A 19,949-nucleotide genomic window follows, 5' to 3' on the forward strand; every position below is an offset into this window, starting at 1 on the left:
GTATCTTAAAAGATGAAAAAAACAGCTGTAAGGTGGGAAAAAGCTACTCAAGGAAATTCAAGGGAGCTTTTAATCTGAAACCATTCAGTTTCCTTGTCTATCCCTAAAACAAAAACCATTCATTTTCCTTGTCTATCCCTAAAACAAAAACAAGGCACTGGAGAAATCTCTTACGAAACATGGCTTTTGTATTATCTTCTACAGCGCTATCAAATTTTTCATATGTTGAACTACTAAATATCTCCTAACATAGTCCAACTCACCGCCAATGCAGATGAATAAAAGCTGAAGATATTCTGCCGAAATTCCTTCAGGGCTTTTTTAAATACAACATCCACTAGTGTATCCTTCTTGCTGTCTTCATTATCTAGGTCATTCACCTGGGAACCACAAAACGAGTTTTAGTACACAATCAACTAATTGAAAAGAAGTAAATACAACAGTAGGCATGTATTGTTGCTTCCACAATGACTGTCCTCAAAGTGCAAGCCACAGGCTATTATAGGACTCAGGTGAAAGTTATGACTAGACAGTCAAACTATAATTACTACTCTATGATTTCTAAGGTTCCTTCTAACATTGTATGATTCTATAGTTCTGTTACAAGAAAACTCCCGTGTGCAACAAGCTGTACCTTCCCATATGAAATTTGACAATTTTAGGAAAATTAAAGTCACTACTAAAGCCTACAACCTTAAATCCTGTCTACCCAGTCTAACTAATGCATATCCTATTATTCACACCTTTCTGGTAAAGAACAGATCATCTAAAGCATGGAAGCATATGTAATTTTGATATCTAGAGAGTATATCCTGATATACACAAGTATTCCATACACAGAGCTGCTCCAGGGCCTGACGTGGCAAATAAAGTGTACCTTTTTCAGAAGAAATTCATCCATGCTTTTTAAATCACTGACACTTGCTATGATCTGGACAGAGTCATTTTGCCAATGCATAGAATCCAAAGCCACGTTGCTAATCTTCACACTTCGCTTGCGCTTAGCCTTTGGAGAAGGTTCTTTGTTCTCTTTGAATTCCTTCCGGCAACTGCCGGGCAGTTCTGGGCTCAAAGGAGGTGTTGGGTGATATGCAGCTAATTCTACAATTCAAGATAGAAGACCCAAAAGGACACATTTAGTAAATATATTGATAATCTTCACATCCTTCTTTTTAAAGTTCCTTTAACAAGTCACTGAAGGAAACATGCAAATATATGAATAGCAAAGTAACATTAATGTTTGAGGTTAGGCAGCTAAGCAATAAATCCAGACAGCACATTTGTACAGAAAGCGTATTTAAAAATTACCACTTTTCAAAGGGAGATGATATCATATCTCCCAAGAAGCTGAAGTCTGATATTAAAAACCTGGATAGAAATGCTTTGCAGGACGTCAAGTTAGATCCCAAAGATCTCAGTCCCAAAGAAAAGAAGAGAATATAAAACCATACTAGCATATTAAATGCTTACTGTTAACAAAGTCATAGCTTTGCTACATGTTTGAAACAATATGTGTAGCTATATACAAGTCCAACAAACCAGTGGAGTTTGATAATTATTATTATTTCTTTACTACAGTCTAAAGTCCTGAATACTTCTGTGATAACATTTGGTGATTGCTGGCAACCTGTTAGGGAGCCAAGTAACTCAACTGGCTTACTTCTGCTTGGGTCTCTTCAGCATTTAGGATTTTCTTAAACATCCCCCAAATAACTGTCAATTTATTTTCTCTACAATTTTTCTCTACAAATGTTTACAACGGAGAAATTAGATTCTATGTAGCCCATTACAACTTAGAACTAGACCAGATTTGCCAAACCCTATCTGGAGCTCGATGAAAATGTTTACCTCCTCTCATTTCACATGCTTGTCTTCCCAATGTGTATGCTCGTTACCCTCTGTCCAATGGTATATCCTGATTCTATCCAAACTAACTTTGATAATAAAGGAAAAAAGTAGCCCCCTACATGCTAAATACCACCTCAGGCAGGAATTGAGAGAAACCCAATTTCAACTATGACACAAGAGTAAAGAATATAAAGATACAGGATACAATTATATTCAAACATATATCAACTGATTTTAATTCTATTATACAGCTTAGATATATTAAGTATCTATTTTATTTAGCAAAGTCAGTATCTTTCTTATTAATAAAATAAATGTTTACTAAAGAAATTATCCATAATCCCATATTAGCATTAAAAACAAGGCCTACCTTAATACATTTTTTCCAAATATAAATAAAAAGCTATAATCCTAAGTTTTATACATGTGTCATTATGAAGCAAACACACAACAAAGTCTGCTTATAATATGAATTTTCAATTAGAGTTTATACTTCTTTCTCAAGAATTAGCAGCAAAGAATATAATTGTGGGAAATAAAAAACTTAGAAGGATGACTGTCAACCAGACAAGATATAAGAAACTGATAACCTTAGCCATTCAATAGTAGGGAATTCCCAGCTTCCTAAACCTGTAGTATTCATTTAACTTGTTATTGGTTTTATTCACATCCATTTCTCAACTGATAGAAGCAAAGCCATAAGATACAAAAACAGGGGTCTAACTACCTTTCCACCATTCTTTCCTCTGGCATAGAGAGCTCAAGCCCATTCACCCCTCTGGGAAGCTTGATGATCTTTCCTCCTTGTTTCTCTATTTTATCCTAGATATGAGAAGATGCTGGTTTCTTACTGTAACTGGGTCTGTTCTATCCTGCCTTAAGCTTTCTTCCGAGGACCTCTTTCTATTTTAGTCAATGCTGGTATTTCACCCACATTACCATATATCCACCTTGGATGTATATCTCTGTTGAAGAAGTTGGTATCTTTACGTAGTAGCTAAAAACTCTCAGGCATACCTGAGAAAAGGGCTTGAGAAGTGGTAATCTTCTAACATTAGGATAACTTGGAGAGTAAGTAATTTTCCCATTTAGAGAGGTCAGTTTTCTGAACGATGAACTAACTGTTGAGTACTTCTCAAATGTGTTATGCTGCACGCCCAGAAAGTTAAAATAAGAGCTATGGGACTGGGCATGGTGGCTCATGGCTGTAATCCCAGCACTTTGGGAGGCTGAGGTGGGAGGATAGGTTGAGCCCAGAAGTTAGAGGTTACAGTGAGCTATGATCACACCACTCCGGCCTAAGCAACATAGTGAAACCTTGTCTCTAAAATTGAAAAATAATAGCTATTATAAAGTGCCAGGCATCTGCTAGGTACTGAAATATAGCAAGTACTTAATATACAACACAGTGGTTAAGACTATGGACTCTGGAGCAGGACTGCCTAGATTCAACTCTTAGCTCTTCCAGTTACTATATGTGCATAAATAAATAACTTTTCTTTTTTATTTATTTATTTGAGACAGGGTCTCACTCTTTCCCCCAGGCTGAAGTGCAGTGGTGTGATCACAGCTCACTGCAGCCTCAACTTCCCAGACTCAAGCGATTCTCCTACCTCAGCCTCCCAAGTAGCTGGGACTACAGGCAAATGCCTCCATGCCTGGCTAATTTTTATATTTTTTGTAGAGATGGGGTTTCACTATGTGCCCAGGCTGGTGTTGAACTCCTGGACTCATGTGATCTGCCCACCTCAGCCTCCCAAAGCGCTGGGATTACAGGTGTGAACCATCGTGCCTGGCCTAATAAAAAAAATTCTCTGTGCCTGAGTTTTCTCATCCATAAATTGGGAATAATAATCATACTAACTCTCAAAAAACTGTTGTGAGGAGCAACTGACTTAATAACCATAACATGCTTACCACAGTGCCTTGCATGTAGTAAGCATTCAAATATTAGCTGCTATTAGTTATAACCAGTAATACATATTTGTTAAATGAATGAATAATGGCTACATTTTTTTAGTTTAGAAAATTAAGGCTAACCTATGATACACAGTCATTTTTGAGGTGGTTGCTGCTTCATTGTTTTGTGATGCATTTTTTGGAAACTTCTATTGTAGGAAAAATGTAACTTTATTTTTTAGTTAAGGAAGGATTTAACAATGCTGGTCCTATCTCATTAGAACATCCAGCCAACAGGATTGACATTATGAATACTACAGGAATAGCAAACTTTCAGAAAGAGTGAACAGAAATTATGAACACAAGTTCCACCCTTTGGTCACTTTTACCATCTGGAAACTGATGAGCTGGAATCACATCTGTGCCTGCAAAGAGTGGCGAAACCTCTGACTGGGTAGTAGGTTTCACTCTGGTAGTCTTCTTCTCCCCTTGTTTCCCTTTGGCCCAGAATCTCATCTTAGCTCTCTGAGGTCTGTTTAAAGAAATAAAGGTAAAAATGGAAATTAAGAGTATCTCAGTGATAATATTTGTATATATCACTTTAAGCTTTACAAATCTTCTATGTATATTAGCTCATTTAAGCTTCACATTTAAATTAAGTGTATTTATCTTTACTTTTGCATTTAAACTTCACCTGAAACTGAAAGGCGAAAAATTATTTAACTTCTCTGGGTTTTGTTATTTCTATATTCAGATGAGGAAACATCTTGAATACAGAAATAACAAAACCCAGAGAAGTTCAATATTTTTTCTAAGATGAAACAGCCACAAAGCAGTGGAGCTAGAATTCTAACTCAAGTTTTCTAACTCCCAAACTGGTTTATTTTCATTCTTGTCCCCCATCCAGCTTGGATTTAGTATATACACAATTTAACAACAAAGAAAATACTTTTTAAAGAAATCACGAATAATCCTACCACTCTAAAAAACATTAGTTTACCTTTGTTTGTCATTTCCTTCCAGTCTTTATCCATAAGTATGGCAAGTTTTACATCACTGTTATCATGATGCACATAGCATTTTAAATCTTTCCACTCACCATTACATAATAAAAGCTTTAATGTCACTATTTACATTCATGAGTTATTAGTATTATTAACAGCCACTTATTTGAACTTGTATCTTTCTCCAGGCACAGTGCTTACAAAATTTAATTACAATATCAACTTTGCTTTTTTCTTTTTTCTTAAAGAACAGGTGATAGTAACAACTTTGCTTTTAACAAACTACTATAAATATGTTACAGGTGAAAAACTGGAGACTTATATATTAGGTAACTTTCCCAAAGTTTCACAGTGAGTGAAAAATTCAGAACCACATCTATTATATTGTATTGCCTCTTCTTAGTGCTTGTACACGCTTTCATCATCTACATCAAAGAAGTACCTTGCGATAACAATGGCATGTAGTTACTGACCATATATTATGTATTCTAACCTCATAGTTGGAGGTTTATTTGTAAATTAATTTATCTGTTCATTTGTCTGTTCAATCATTCAATTAAAAAATTTTGAGTATGTACTAGGTGACAGGTACTATGCCTTATATATGATATTCCTAATTTCACAACTACTGTGATAAACAGTATTATCCTTACTTTACACATGAGCAAACTAAGGCTTACAGGCCTGATGGAGATGGAAGTTAAAATCAAGTCTATCTGGTTTTGAAGCCCATGAGCTCTTTCTTTCTTCCTTTTTTTTTTTTTTTTTAAAAAAAAGCTTATTACTAAACTCATATATTTATACATTAAAAAGAGAAATTGTTCTACAAGACTAATTAAAAACAACAGTATCTCTCTGCCATGCTCACCCCATTTTCTGCTCCCTAGAGGCAACACTTTTGAATTGCTTTAACTAATTCTTCTGATATTTAGTGTGCTTCTGTAACTATCATACTCATGGCCACAGATAATGATTAGGCATGTTCCACCATTCCAGTCCTAACCATAAACATGTGCCCCCAAAAGAATTATACTGTAATTTTAGTTAGATCAATATTCAGTATTTACTTTTAATGATATTCAGTATTTATTTTTATTATGTAAATAATATTCACAGTTGAGGGATGTAATTCCCTAAATAATCTACTTTATTCTAGAGGATTTTTAAAATTTGCTCATGAAAACTGTTTGATTTTTCATTTCCTCACTTTTCTATATACAATTCACCTCCACGTGTTTCCCCATTTCTATCAACTCTCAATACATTCAAATGTATTAGGTACTTTATCAGTTTCATCTTGTTGAAAAAAATCTCTCCCAGAGCCTTCTAACTTGCTCCAATTTGGAGTGGTTTCCCTCATTGCCTGCTGTGCAGTTGTCATTTGAAAAGCTACTTTCATCATTGTAACAGATTCCTTTTGTCTCTTTTGTTTCATAACAACATGTCTTTTGGTATGGGTCTATTTTCATCCACTATGTTGGGCACTCAGTGGCGTCTTCAAATCTGGAAAATCGTGTCCTTCGGTTCTGTAAAATTTGGCTGAATTACTTTTTCAATAATTTATCCTCCGTTTTCTCGGTTCTATCTTTCCAAAGTTCCTACCATTGGGTCATTGGATCTCCTGAATGGAGCCTCTAATATTCCCATCTCTTCCATTTCTTCATTTTTTGCTCAACATTCTGAGATATGTCCTCAAATTTCCTTTTGATTCTTGAGTTGCTCCTTTATCATATTTTTAATCTTCAAAAGCTCTTTTTATTATGAATGTTTCTCTTTCATGCACCATTTGGTTTCATGAATACAATTGTATTTGTTATGCAAAAGGCCTGTTGATAGTTACATTTGTCTATCTTGAAGTGTTCTATTCCCTGTATAGTTTATTTCTTCCAAGTTGTATTTTATCTGTTAATTTTGGTTTCTTCAATATAAGGTATTTCCTCAAATATACGGTGATCAGTGGTATGTGATTATTATTTAAAGTAGGGTAAAAAAAAAAAAAAAAAAAAGAAAGAGGCTGCTTGGAAGCTCTAGTGTGCCTTGGTGGGCCTGCTAAAGTATGGTCTTCCTTACAGGGTTATCTGGTTGGTTGACTTTGCAGGGAGAGCTCCTGATAGTAATATATTCAGGGTTTTCCCTAAGGGCTAGACAGAAGTCCCCAAAACTCTTTGAACCATTTGCTTAGAACCATTTGCTTAGAGGGTATGGGAAATGAAGAAGGCTGGCAAATCTTAACATTCTGTATATAAACAGTCATTAAATCCCTATGTTCCAAATATGTGCCCCAGCCCTCAATTGTATCTAGTAAACTCCAGGTCCAGAGATACTCTGTTTTATACTTTCCAGATAATAAATTTCTTGTTCTGCTATAATTGGGGAAGGTCAGCCAGCTAGATGTATCTTTCTCAGCTTTACTTAGCTGGATTAGGATTTGGCTTTCTAGTATGTATTAACATATTTAAAATTTAAAGTCCATTTACTTTTTGGATTCCACAGTTTTATTGCAGTTGTTTTCACTTCTAAGTTTTTTTGAGGGGGAGAAAAGTCCTTCGTAGATTTTGTCATTTTAGCAATTGTGGGGGAGGACGTGGAAACTAAATATATATAATCTATTATTTCCAGATGTATGTTCTTCTACTGTGTCACATCTTATTTCTCAATATTTGGTTTCTAGTATTATCTGCTCTGGATTTGGATTACCTTAGATTATACCTCTACAGTCAGCGAAAAAGTGGTCTTTAATATGGTTATGAACCAGAAAAATTTCAACATAATCTTGTAAGTTTTCTGCGAGGCCCAAATGCTTATACAACATAATGAGGGACAAAGATATTTATTTGAAAAATAAAAATTCCATAAGCTCTCTTAAAGAGAACAGAATTATCTCCTGAAAGGCCTTTTCAGTTCCATTTCTAAAATGCTTACCTCAGAACAGAATCCAAGTCCAAAGCTGGCACCTATTTTCAATCTTATTTAGTCTCATTCTCTTTTACAACAAAATACCATAAGTCATGTAACAATTTGGAGACTTTCCCCAAATCATACTGCTAAGTATAGAGGGAGATAAAGCCCATTATACTGAAGGGAACCAGTATGTGCCACCCCAAAATATTCCTCTTTGAGATAAATATTTTTAAGCTAAAGGCAATTAAGAAGTAGATGCAGAAAAGCTCTCTACCCTCCCCTGTTCGCCTAAAAGCAGGATATAAATTTGAAAGGTGTTCTTTCTTCCCTCTCTACCAACAAGGACAGAAAATCACTGGAGACAGTGTAGACCTTTATTAGCTAGAAATGACATCAGAGGAATCTACCAACTTTACTCCGTTAGTTTCCCCATAAATTTACCTTCCCAGTTTTGTTACCTTTGGAAGCCTGAAACTGCTTATCTTTGTCTTGTCACTTCTCTAAAATTAATTGTTCATTGTTGAAGACAATGTATAAGCCAGATTCCTAAACCACTGTTTTGAGTTACCTTTCCTCTGCATGATGTGCATGCACTGTATGCACTAACTTGCTTATTTTTCTCTTGTTAATCTGTCTTTTGTTACAGGATTCTGTCCCAACTATGAACTTATGAGGGTTGAGGGAAATTTTTCTTTTCTTCTCTTCAACACATATCTTAACTACTATGTGCCTATAAACAGTAGGTACTTACCATTTCTTGAAAAATTGGTAAATAAGTTTAATTTCAAAAGTGGCCTATCAATTATGGTTTTTTTAAAAAAGCTCAGTACTTAACTATAGTCAGTTATCAAATAAAATTATATAACCCCTGTTAACTCCGTGTATACTTTATACCTTATATCTGAATCTGAAGCCTTCTGTCTCACTGCCAACTTGGTAATCTCTCCTTGAGACATAGTCTTATGAAGTTTTGCTTGTTCATCAACTGACGAAAATCGCTGTGATGTCTGTAATAATTACATATGTGAAAGATTTAATGCCAAGTAAATATATGATAGCACTGTAATTTAAATTCAGGTTACAGAATTACTTGAGCTATTTAAAAACACACAAAACATTGATATTATTCAGAGATTCATTGAAATAATAGAGCCTACTGAAAACTCTATATAAAGTAATCTGAAATAAAGATGACTTGGTCAATGAAAATAAACAGGATCTACCAGTTCATATTTTCTGACAATTTAAAAAAGAATCTCAAGTGGAAAGGCAAGAAAGTGAAAACCATTTAAAGATAGAGACAAAAGATGCAGGATCTAATAAATCTAGAACGCTAAGTATTGTTTTTCAAATCTCCTTTTATTTATCCCAAAAGGTGGTTATTACTTTCATGGCTTAACTTGCTATTATAAGTTCTTCATATATCTAATCAATAATTTAAAAGAGATGGAATATGCAATGATTTTTAAAGAGCCAAAAGATGACAGGATAAAGGCTCATTACCATTATTAATGGTCTAAATTATAAACAACTTATAAGGCTATCAAACTGTGACCTGATTTTTAATTGGCAGTTCTTGTTCCATTTGTTTAAAATGTGTCCCTCTAAAGACAATCCTGTTCTGAGGAGAGAATTTCTTGTTATCTATTCAAGTCATTTCCTAATATTTCATTTTTCTGTAGTTATAATATTCTTTCTTTAGCCTTTTGGTCTGCCTCACTATGGCCTTATTAACAGAAAGAGGAAATACCTTAAGTTGGCAAAGATGAAGTAATAGGGATCTGGTCTACCCACTTACCTGAAACCAACAAAAAACCCAGACAAAATAATATGAAACCGCAATGTTTAAAACAATGGACAGATACCCCTGAGAGATGGGAAAAAAGGGAAGTATGTTCTACACTTGTTTCTAGGCTGTGATGCAGAGAGGAGGAACCCAGGTGAAACTTGACAGACTCTAAGTGGAACACATGAAGCTGAAAGTCCAAGGTGAGCACAGTGACTAGAGACCAAAAGACAGAGTACTGGAGAGGAGTGAGAAGCACAAAGATAGAACTCTAGAGATCTACAGAAGGTCCACATTGAATGTTCAGCTTGAGTACTAATCAACACTTTGTATGAGAAAACAATCCAAGACCAAGAAAAAGATCACTTGAAAGGATTAAAGGTAATTGAGCCCATCACTCACAAAAGGTCAGTAATAGTGTCTATGCCCAAGAGCCAGAGCATATAACTTTATGATTCCCAGGGCACTGGGCAAAGTATAGAGAGGATCTCACCTCAATAGTCAAGAATAATTAGCCCTAGACTGAGTACTGTTTGGGTCTAACAAACCTTTTTTTTTTTTTTTTTTTTTTTTTTTAAGAGACATGGTCTTGCTCTGTTGCTCAGGCTGGAGTGCAGTGGTACAATCACAGCTCACTGCAGCCCTGCACTCCTGGGCCCCAGTTATCCTCCTGCCTCAGCCTTCTGAGTAGCTGGGACTACAGGCACATGGCTCTGTGCCCAGATCTTACTTTCCAGACCTCTGTGCAAATAAATTGAAAAGTTAGATGAAATTGATAATTTTATAAGAAAAAAGGGTTTACCAAAATTGACCCTGTTAGATAAAAGGTTTAAAAAAGACTGATTTCCCTAGAAGAAAAAAAGAAAAACTTATCCAGGAACTACACCACAAAAAAGTACCAATCCCAGGTGGTTTCATAGAAAAATTCTGCCAAATCTTCAAAGAACAGATAGCTGCAATGCTATAAACTGGTCCTGACTTTTTTTAGAGAAATAAAATACACATATAAATACTAAGTGTATAGTCAACAGTGTGGCTGCTGTCTTAAGGCTGCCAATCCAAAACTCTTAAGTAATGAACTTTGTTCAATAACAACCAGTTTTCTACCACGCAAGACCAACCTCAAAATCACCTAGCCCAGGTCCTAAAACTTTATGAATATCCTCTCCTGACTTCTCCCTTGTGAGATATTACTAAGACACAGTCAAAGTGGGTTTTCTCTTACTGTAATAAGCTAATAAACAGCTTTGTTTGATCAACAGGTTTTTCTGGCAGTCTATGGAGTAGACATCAGAGAGAAAGAAAATTCAACACAGACAAGGATCAGAGAGTATCTCAGAGAATAGCAGAAATAGGAATATAAGAAGTGACAGCAGTTTGGGGGGAATAATGAGAAATTTAGTTTTACTATGCTAGAAGTAATGAAGATTGAAATTCTGGAGAGCCATTCAGAAGTCATATCCATAGAGATGACTGCTTTAAATCTGGGGGATGATAAAAGAAAACTGTACAGAGAAAAGTATAATGTTTCCTATACTAATCCTATAAATAAGGAATAGAAATGATTTTACTAACCCGCTTACCATTCAGAAGACAGAAACTAAAAAAAAACTATCTTAAAAACAACTGCTTAGCAGAAAACGCCATTCTTCTTGAGTAAATGCCAATGTGGTGTGTATAAAAATGGAGTGAGAGCAGCACATAGAGACTAAACAGTTATTCAAACGGCAGCGTTTGAAGTAAGAGGTTAAAAAACACCAAAGTCACTAAGGAGGGAAACTACTACACTTGTTTCCCCTCCCACAGCAGGTAACAACTGATTAATAATTTAAAAACTCAAATCTCCTTCAATTCATTTGTGAATGTCTTTATCCCATTAGATTGGGTTACTTCACAATTAGAAAGGTCATACAGCAATTTCTTCCAAGATTTAATGACACACTTCAGAGTAATAAAATCAGTTTGTCCAGAAAAAAAAAATCCAGCTTTTAAAACTCCATGTACCTAGAAAATCAAATACATTTAAAATCCAGAAAATACTGTGAGATTGTAGTAGATTTTATTTAGACACAATACATCTTCATCTTCACAATATCAGATAATGTTAGAACGTGGAATATTCTCAAGATAAATAAAAAGAGAAACACATTTAAAAATTGTTCCTACCCACCCCATCCCCAACCCTGGTAAGTAACTATCCACATATTCTACAAAGCAAAGCTTCTTCATGCAGTGTCCACCAGAAACAAGCACCACCACCTGTTCCTAAAATAGCTCGTGGTGAAAGAGAAGAAAATGAGAAAGCTGGCGACGTGACTAACACACTGTGCAGGGAAGTGCTCTACAACTACTGGCATGCAGTGACCGTCAAGCAGGTGAACAGAGGCTAGAACACTGAAAGGAGCTGAATGCTCCAAGCAGAAAGCCCAACTTCCTGGTTCATCTCAGTAAAAGTTCCCAGTGTAAAAGAAGTCTATCACCAAAAGGACTAAGGGTTGTTACAAAGGAAACTCTCAGAAACAAAACAGCAGTCATAATGCCAAAGTTTTTCTGCAAACAATAAATCTATGTATACTAGACAAAGCAGGACTTTTCATCAAAATTAGTTTGTTCCATTACATAATTTCGTATTTAACTGTTAATCAGATAACACAGTATATTTCCTTATTTATAACTCAAATACAGGGCACCTCCAAAATGCTATTATTTTATTCTACACTGAAGATTTTGGCTCTAATTATACATATTATCAGATACACAGAATGTTTCCAATTTCTATAATCCTACAGTTCGGCTCAGGTTAATGACTCATTTATCTAATCAGGGGACTTGTTTTGCATTTTTCTCTTTTTGTTGTTGTTGTTTTTGCCTTCATAAAACATCACTTTTGTCACTTAAAAACTGGGTCTACCTCCAACAAAAGATAAAAGACAACGAGAGTATTCTGGACAATAGGAGAAATTTCAATTAATTAGATCTTTGACAATTCAAACAGCTTAAAACAGTTCAAAGATAGAATATTTAATGAGTCAAATAAAGACCATTCTAAAATTTTTCTCTGATAATTGACAGACACTAAAGAATATTAGAGAGCTCAGTTACAGATATGTATGGAAATAAAATGTTATTTCACTCTACTTCATCAGTGATGTTCTGGTTCATATTAGACATACGGTCTTTATCTTATATATTTCTAGGACAATTCCAAAATAAAATTCTTTGCATTAATATACCCATCAATATACTATAATACTTGTCAAACCACATATACACCTGATTTGGGCTGAGAAGATGATATAGTTATATTCTTAGCTTAAAATGGTGCAGCTTTATTCAAACACAACACCAATGTTATATTGTGTGATTAATACAAATTCACATTACATATAGCCTTCTATTTGGCTGGGTTGGTCCAGGAAGACACTTTTTGCTCACTATATGTTTTAAAATTCATGTTTATTTCTTATTAGTGGAAAGTGAGGTGGAGGAAGAAAGTTTACAGGCAAAAAATGTAAAAGTGCATTGTAGCTAAAAGCTACTGGATTATTTTAGACCAAGGATCAGTAAACTAAACCACGGATCAGTAAACTATGGCCAACAGGTCAAATACAATCCACTGTCTGTTTTTGCAGTTTTATTACAAGACGGTCATGCCCATTTGTTTACTTAGTGTCTATGGCTGCTTTCACACTACAGTGGGTGAGTTAAGTAGTTAAGTTAGGTAGTTGCAATAGAGACTATATGACCCACAAAGTCTAAAATATTTGTTATCTGGCCGTTTACAGAAAAAATGTAAGGACCACTGCTCTAGACCTTTTAGGATACAACATGGAAAATTTCTACATTAGTGCCAAGTCAAATAATCTTAATTTTGCCTAATTTGTGGCTTTTTAAAGTGCCCTTTATTTGAGTTCTATTAAATTAAGGTTTAGCTTAGTTGCTGTGTTCACTGAGGTTTCCCATGCACAAACCATTACATGGGAAGAAGCTGTGAAGGTTAGCTTTAGATTAGCAAAGACTATTTCCATCAGATTTGCTTGCTATTTTTCTTATATTGCTGTAAAATTACCATTTCGGAGTCACTGTGAGAGGCCTGACCCAGGCTGGGTGCAGGCCCTAGCTCACAGTGAGAAGCTTGGTCAAGGGAGAGAAGGGGCTCAATAATGTCATCGTAATCATCTTCCTCTGTATCCCCCTCCCCATCGGCAAAAGTACCTCTAGTCAAGAAATCGGAGCGCGTCCGCGCCATTCGAGCTTTCTTTTTATGGGCCGGTCTGGCAACCTGCTTGACCAAATGATAAAACAAATAACACAACAATGTTTGGGGTTTTTGTTCTTTTTGAGATGATGCCAATGAAAGACATCAGAGGGCTCATGAATTTCTTGAAATATCCCTCCACCCAACCATGCCCTTTCCACTAGCAGAAGTGACAGGGATGACCAAAAGGAATCTGTATACATTACTCTGGATGAAGGACTAGAATGGAAGCTAAATCTACACTGTTCTACATAGCCAAAGAAGTCATCTTTCACTGCCATAGTAAGTCAACAAAGTCTCTTGCACAAATTGCCTTCTTTTTCTTAGCAACTGGGTTTTTAGGCACCATTCCCTGCCTGGAGTACACCTTCATAATTATAACAATCTCCGCTCATGGCTTCTTTCTCTAAAAACACTTGGGAGTAAATGGGTAGATGAGGTGCTCTACCTACAAGAATAATAATTTCCAAAATAATGTACATCTCTTTTGTATAGAAGATAGATAAACAAAAACTCAAAACTTACCTCTCTTTGGCCTGGCCCAGCTAACTTCACAGGTTTCCATGCTGGTTCATCTTCTTTATGGAGTTGAGGATTTTTACTGTTTAAGGCTTCTTTGCTGACACTTTAAATAAAACAATGAAATTACATTTCAGTTCTTAGCAGATATCCCATGGCAGCCAGGTTAAAGACTTCCAGCAAATTCCATAAATATTTTCAGATCTTAGTCAATTCCCAAGACAATTAAGTCATATTTTTTCTGCTTAGCTAATTAGTAATAATAATCCTGAACCTACGCATAAGACTGAATTACTAAAGGCCTTGTCCTGATGATCAGTGGGTATATTCCACTATGAATATGACATATGTTTAAGAATAGTAGCTGCAAAATAAACTCAAGAAATAAAATAGATCTGATGATGGGGAAAGGAAAATACCAAACCCCTGAATCTTTAGAATACTAGTCTTACAAGGGGCCTTTCCATCTAATCATTATAAAATACCTGAAAAATAGCCATCCAGGGATGAGGATCTCATTATATTTTATACTGAGATGGTTCTTATTGGTTAGAAAACTCCTTCTGAAATCTCTCTTTGTAGTTTTCATCCACTGTCTTTGAGTTTTAAAACTTGACGTTGAGGCTGGGTGCAGTGGCTCATGCCTGTAAACCCAGCAGTTTGGGAGGCCGAGGCAGGCGGATCACCTGAGGTCAGGAGTTTGAGACCAGCGTGGTCAACATGGCAAAACTCCGTCTCTACCAAAAATATAAAAATTAGCTGGGTGTGGTGGCAGGTGGCTGTAGTCCCAGGTACTTGGAAGGCTGAGGTAGGAGAATCACTTGAACCCAGGAGGCAGAGGTTGCAGTGAGCCAAGATCGTGCCACTGCACACTCTAGCTTGGGTGACAAGAGTGAAACTGTCTCAAAAAAACCAAAAAACAAACAAACAAAAAGCTTGATGTTGAATAGCCTAAAATCAACACTGGCAGGGTAAGAAATTGTTATCAAACTAAAAGTATGCTCCAGACAATACAGGTGTTACAGTGTTAGCTTATGAAAATTTAATTTTGATTGAAAAACTGTATGATGAGAATGCTTTATCATTAAATTCTGGGCAGAAATAGATGCCAGAATCTGATGAAAAAGTGTATATAACCTTCATGGCCCCAATTACCTATATTAACTCAGTACCATGAGTCTCATCAACAACATATTGATAATCTCTCCTGAGCAGAACTGTAAGCTCCTTGAGAATCATATCTTACTTCCAAGGATAGTGCTAGCTAAAATTAGACACTAACTTATGATACTAGTTGGTAGATTAATTGTTCTTCCATTCAAAATCTTTCATTTAATTTTTATAAAAGTAAGTCTAGGAGCCATAAGAAATTATCTTGCCCTTTGCCTCTATGCAATAAGCCCGAAACAAACACAAATAGATGCAATCTTTGCTAGCTATAGGCTTCTTAGAGATCTCCCTTTTTGAGCAATGTATGTACAATGTGTATAAGCCTAGCAATCCTAGCTTGTTCTAAAGGATTCTCTTCTGGCTATCAAAATCTCTCTTGCCACAGTTGAGCCTATTGGACCTTCATTTATCCTCCAAAGAGAAACAACAATTAATAGGATCTTGATAGTACTTGACCACTGCAATTAACCTTTTAACTCACAACATTTTCTTTAGACTTCACCATGAATTCTTTTTGTCCTTTCTCATTAAACAGTTAAAAACTACTGTGTACTCATCACCACTACAGTACAAAAGGGACACTAACCTAGTATTACTTTCTAATTATAAAACCCAATGCCGATCCTTAATGATGAAATGCAAGTTCTAGTCCCAGCCATTTCTCTAAATACATGATCTTGAATAAGTCATTTCACCTCTATGGGCCCCAGTGACCTTATCTGTAACATGTGGGAACTGGATTACATAATTCAGAAGCACCAGCATTTATGATTCTACAAAATGTTAATGTTTCTAATATTACTTATACAACAGGATGAGATTTAAAGTATGAATTTTATCTGTAGAGTTTAATATAATCTAATATATAATAATTTTAAAGATAAGTAGATCATTAATAAAGCAATAAAAGAAATCAACTCAAATACACCTACAACTATGTATCTTGGAAAAATAAGATAAATATTTCACAAGGATGATTAATATTTTTTAGAATCCACAATTTGTTTTTTACAAAACAAATTCATGGATCCAACAGCTACTTTATAAGTGTATACACCTATAATACATACACACACATAAATGTCATAATTAATAGACATTAAAGAATATTAAAGAGCTCACTTACAGATATGCATGGAATACCATGTATCACTAAACTTAGAATGACAGGGAATATGTTTTTAACACTCTCTTATGGATGCATATGCTACACAGAGTCTTTGAACTTCTGGGAAATCTGTAGGTTAATGGGTGGGAATAATACTTAAAACTGTCATTAAGCTCAACTGCACTTTGTAATACTATAGAGACTCTTGGAAAAATATATTATTGATCATCTCTTGCCCACATTTACAAAGGATTTCTCTAAAATCCATATGAAATTTTAAAGGGTGGAACATTTAAATGTTTGGGTTATATATAAAAGGAGAGAAAAGGTTATTTTCATTGTTAATGTAAAATTTATTTTTAACCCAAAGATACAGCCCTCCTTTCATTTCAATGATGACATTCTCCATAAGAACCAAAAGAATCTACCAAATATAAAGATAATACAAGTATCTTCAATTTTGTTAAATTTGTTTTTACGTACCACTTAAAAATGCTTTTCTCATGACTACCTCTAGTTTAAAAAAGTATAAAGAAATTCTACTTACGGCTGGGTGCGGTGGCTCACACCTGTAATCCCAGCAATTTGGGGGGCAGAGGCAGGTGGATCACCTGAGGTCAGGAGTTCGAGACCAGCCTGACAAATATGGTGAAACCCCATCTCTACTAAAAATACAAAAATTAGCCAGGCATGGTGGCGTGCACCTATAGTCCCAGCTACTCGGGAGGCTGAGACAGGAGAACTGCTTGAGCCTAGGAGGCAGAGGTTGCAGTTAGCTGAGATCACACCACTGCACTCCAGCCTGGGTGACAGAGTGAGACTCCATCTTAAAAAAAAAAAAAAAATTTCATTTCTATTTATATGAAGTATAAAAAGTAAACTCTTGGAAACAGAAAGTAGAATGATGGTTGCCAGGGGCTACAAGGAAAAGCAGAGTTGTTCAATGGGTACAGAGTTTTATTTTACAAGAAGAAAAAGTTCTAGAGATCTTTTGCAAAACAATGTATATACAGTTAACACTACTGTACTATATTATTTAAAAATGGTTAAGATGGGAAATTTTATGTTATGTGTTTATCACATACAAAGAAGTATAATGAACGTAATGATGACCATAAATAGGCCAACAGCTGTAACAAAACAAATTAACTTCTTTAAAGCCTGAAACAAACAACCTTCAACTACTAAACTTCACAGCTGTAAAGCAACCAGTATTCGGTGAATGCCTACTATGTTTATAGGCACTGTACTGCCCTTCACAAATGCTTCTCACTTAATGGGGAGGAACCCAGTATTTACTCTGCTATTCATGATCAGTCAAGGATTCCTAGGATATAACTACATCCAACTTCAGGTGATGGTAGAGTCAACAATTAGGGAATATTTTTACAAAGAGAAAATGGCCAAGTTGAGCAGCCACTTTACACAAATAGTTGGAGCAGAACAAGGCACCTTAATAAAAATACTCCAAGAAGTTTCCCATTTATACATAAATAAACATTTCACTTACAGGGGAATACTCATATTGTCCTTTGGAGTGAAGAAAATGGGCCTAGCATTTCCCTCTCTGGAAAGGTCATCAGAATTGTGGCTGTAAGACTGAGTTGGCCTAAAGTGTTCTCTTTTTGAAATGCGATTATTTGAGAGTTTACAGGCTACATTCAGCTGGGTGCCCATTCTGTCTGTCTTGGATAATTCCTTGACAGTACTAGATTGGCATGGACTTCCTTTTCTTTCAAAGAACACGGTGACAGGTCGGTCCTTTGGGGGTAAGTGAGCAGAGGAACTGTCTTTTTGGGCAAGAGCTGCATCTTTTAATGATAGGGACCCCAGTACATTAAGTTCTCCCTTATTTGAGGTATTTAAGCTGAGGAGAGAGGATGGCCTCTCTACTCTTTGCTTTGACTGATAGGAAGATGGTGCCACCAAACACTCTCCAATTCTTGGCTTTTCAATTGTCTTGAAGGCTTTGCGCTCCTTCTCTAAAATATCTGTTTGCTGGCGAATCTGTTCCATCATCTCTTTTTCATTCTGTTGCTGCAACTGTTTTTGCCTTTCTTCCTTCTCAGTGTTTAGCTTTTCTAACTTCTTAAGCACAGGATTAGAAGACTCTGTATTCAAAGAAGGAACAATCTGATCTTTTCCTGAGCAGTGATACCTTCTAGTTTCCCTGTTGATATCCAAAGTAAGAGCTTCCCCCGCTGTGTCTTCATTTTCCAATAGTTTGTTTCTTTGGATACTTGTGTCTAGTTGGGAATTTGTTTTCAGTGGGTCTTGTTGGGGGATATAAAAAAAAGTAGGTAGACTATTTGAAATGAAGGAGTCTTTCAGCTGTGGTTTACAGGTAATAGACTCAGAACTGCAGACCACCATTTCCTTCATAGTTCCATCCTTCAAATGCTCTGCACTGCTAGTCTCATTTGAGGCACTGAGGGCATTGTCCCGTGAATCAAATTTTGGACTGCTGGATATCTTAGGTGATGGAAACTGCAAGTCTCCTTCATCTGAAATGACAGACTCTAGTTTGCTCTTTTGGCTTTCCTCATAGCTCAGAAGTTCCAAGCTTCCTTGAGAGCTCTCACTATCAGGTGTACCCCGTGGAGACTGAAGGCCTTCAGGCACCAATTCTGTAGACCATCTGCGATCCTCTGAAGGAGAAATACCACCAAGAGAACGAACTTTCAGCAATTCTAAGCTAAATATAGCTTGCTCTAGTTCTCTCATTCTCCTACTTTCTCTCTTAGCCCGGCCTACTTTTTTCTGATGGAGATCCTCCAAGGATCTGGGTCTCTCTCTTACAAGCACATCTTCCTGCAAGTCCACACCACTCTGGCTTTGGGCTCTCTCCTGCTGCTTGTTTGGTGACTCCTTCAAGCAGTCCACTGAACTTTCACGGCTAATTCGATTACTCTCTATTACAGATTTACATTCCTCTATGGCTTTTATTCTGTTGTCAAAAGAACAATCCTCCCATCCTGAAGGGTCTGAACCCTGAATTTCCAGAGATCCATATCCCTTAATATTCACCAATCCAACTTCTGGCTTTGTTTCTCTTAGCCTTTGTTCTTTTAAAGCTTTAAATCTATATAAAAACAGACAAAATGGGTTATAGAAATATCTTAGTTACCACTGAAAATAACATATTTCCTGAGAATTTAAGAAAAAATGCAGAGTTGTAAAATCTTTTTATAATACCTAAGTTCTTCTTAAACTAACTTGAATGCACATTTCATAATTTTCCTATTTCCATGAGTCAGATGATATTTCATTAAGTGTATTACTTCTACCTAGGCATTTCAGTCAAAATGTAAACTAATTCAGAAGTAAAGCTCTCATTTTAATAATGCCTTTATTTTAAAGTAAACCTCAAATTAAAGTGAAATTTTAAGTGTGAAATTAAAGTGAAATTTTAATTTAAGTGTGAAATTAAAGTTTCTGAAAGTAACAACAGTTGAA

At 35.8% G+C, this 19,949-nt stretch overlaps 1 protein-coding gene across 50 annotated transcripts in view, besides 3 other annotated features; it reads right to left on the reverse strand.

The window, feature by feature from the left end:
* MYO9A (myosin IXA) overlaps positions 1-19,949 on the reverse strand; it is a 296,310-nt gene that overhangs the window by 57,167 nt on the left and 219,194 nt on the right. For 20 of the 50 annotated variants that reach the window (XM_047432556.1, XM_047432573.1, XM_047432559.1 and 17 more), the window contains 7 exons: positions 18,004-19,575; positions 14,222-14,321; positions 13,508-13,720; positions 8,547-8,659; positions 4,137-4,279; positions 878-1,101; positions 264-380 (listed from right to left, as the gene is read on the reverse strand). In XM_047432556.1, the coding sequence (XP_047288512.1) occupies positions 264-380; positions 878-1,101; positions 4,137-4,279; positions 8,547-8,659; positions 13,508-13,720; positions 14,222-14,321; positions 18,004-19,575 (2,482 nt within the window). Of the gene's footprint in view, positions 1-263; positions 381-877; positions 1,102-4,136; positions 4,280-8,546; positions 8,660-13,507; positions 13,724-14,221; positions 14,322-18,003; positions 19,576-19,949 lie in introns of all 50 variants that reach the window. The other 30 variants (XM_047432553.1, XM_047432571.1, XM_011521615.4 and 27 more) reach the window with 2 other exon arrangements.
* Positions 4,078-4,127: an enhancer, noted in NCBI's record as "active region_9707". NCBI's record gives its function as "activates an Ori minimal core promoter by ATAC-STARR-seq in GM12878 lymphoblastoid cells {active_cell/tissue: GM12878}" and the evidence as "EXISTENCE:reporter gene assay evidence [ECO:0000049][PMID:35858748]".
* Positions 4,148-4,297: an enhancer, noted in NCBI's record as "active region_9708". NCBI's record gives its function as "activates an Ori minimal core promoter by ATAC-STARR-seq in GM12878 lymphoblastoid cells {active_cell/tissue: GM12878}" and the evidence as "EXISTENCE:reporter gene assay evidence [ECO:0000049][PMID:35858748]".
* Positions 9,397-9,566: an enhancer, noted in NCBI's record as "active region_9709". NCBI's record gives its function as "activates an Ori minimal core promoter by ATAC-STARR-seq in GM12878 lymphoblastoid cells {active_cell/tissue: GM12878}" and the evidence as "EXISTENCE:reporter gene assay evidence [ECO:0000049][PMID:35858748]".

This window comes from Homo sapiens, chromosome 15, assembly GCF_000001405.40.
Source record: "Homo sapiens chromosome 15, GRCh38.p14 Primary Assembly".
Lineage (NCBI taxonomy): Eukaryota > Metazoa > Chordata > Mammalia > Primates > Hominidae > Homo > Homo sapiens.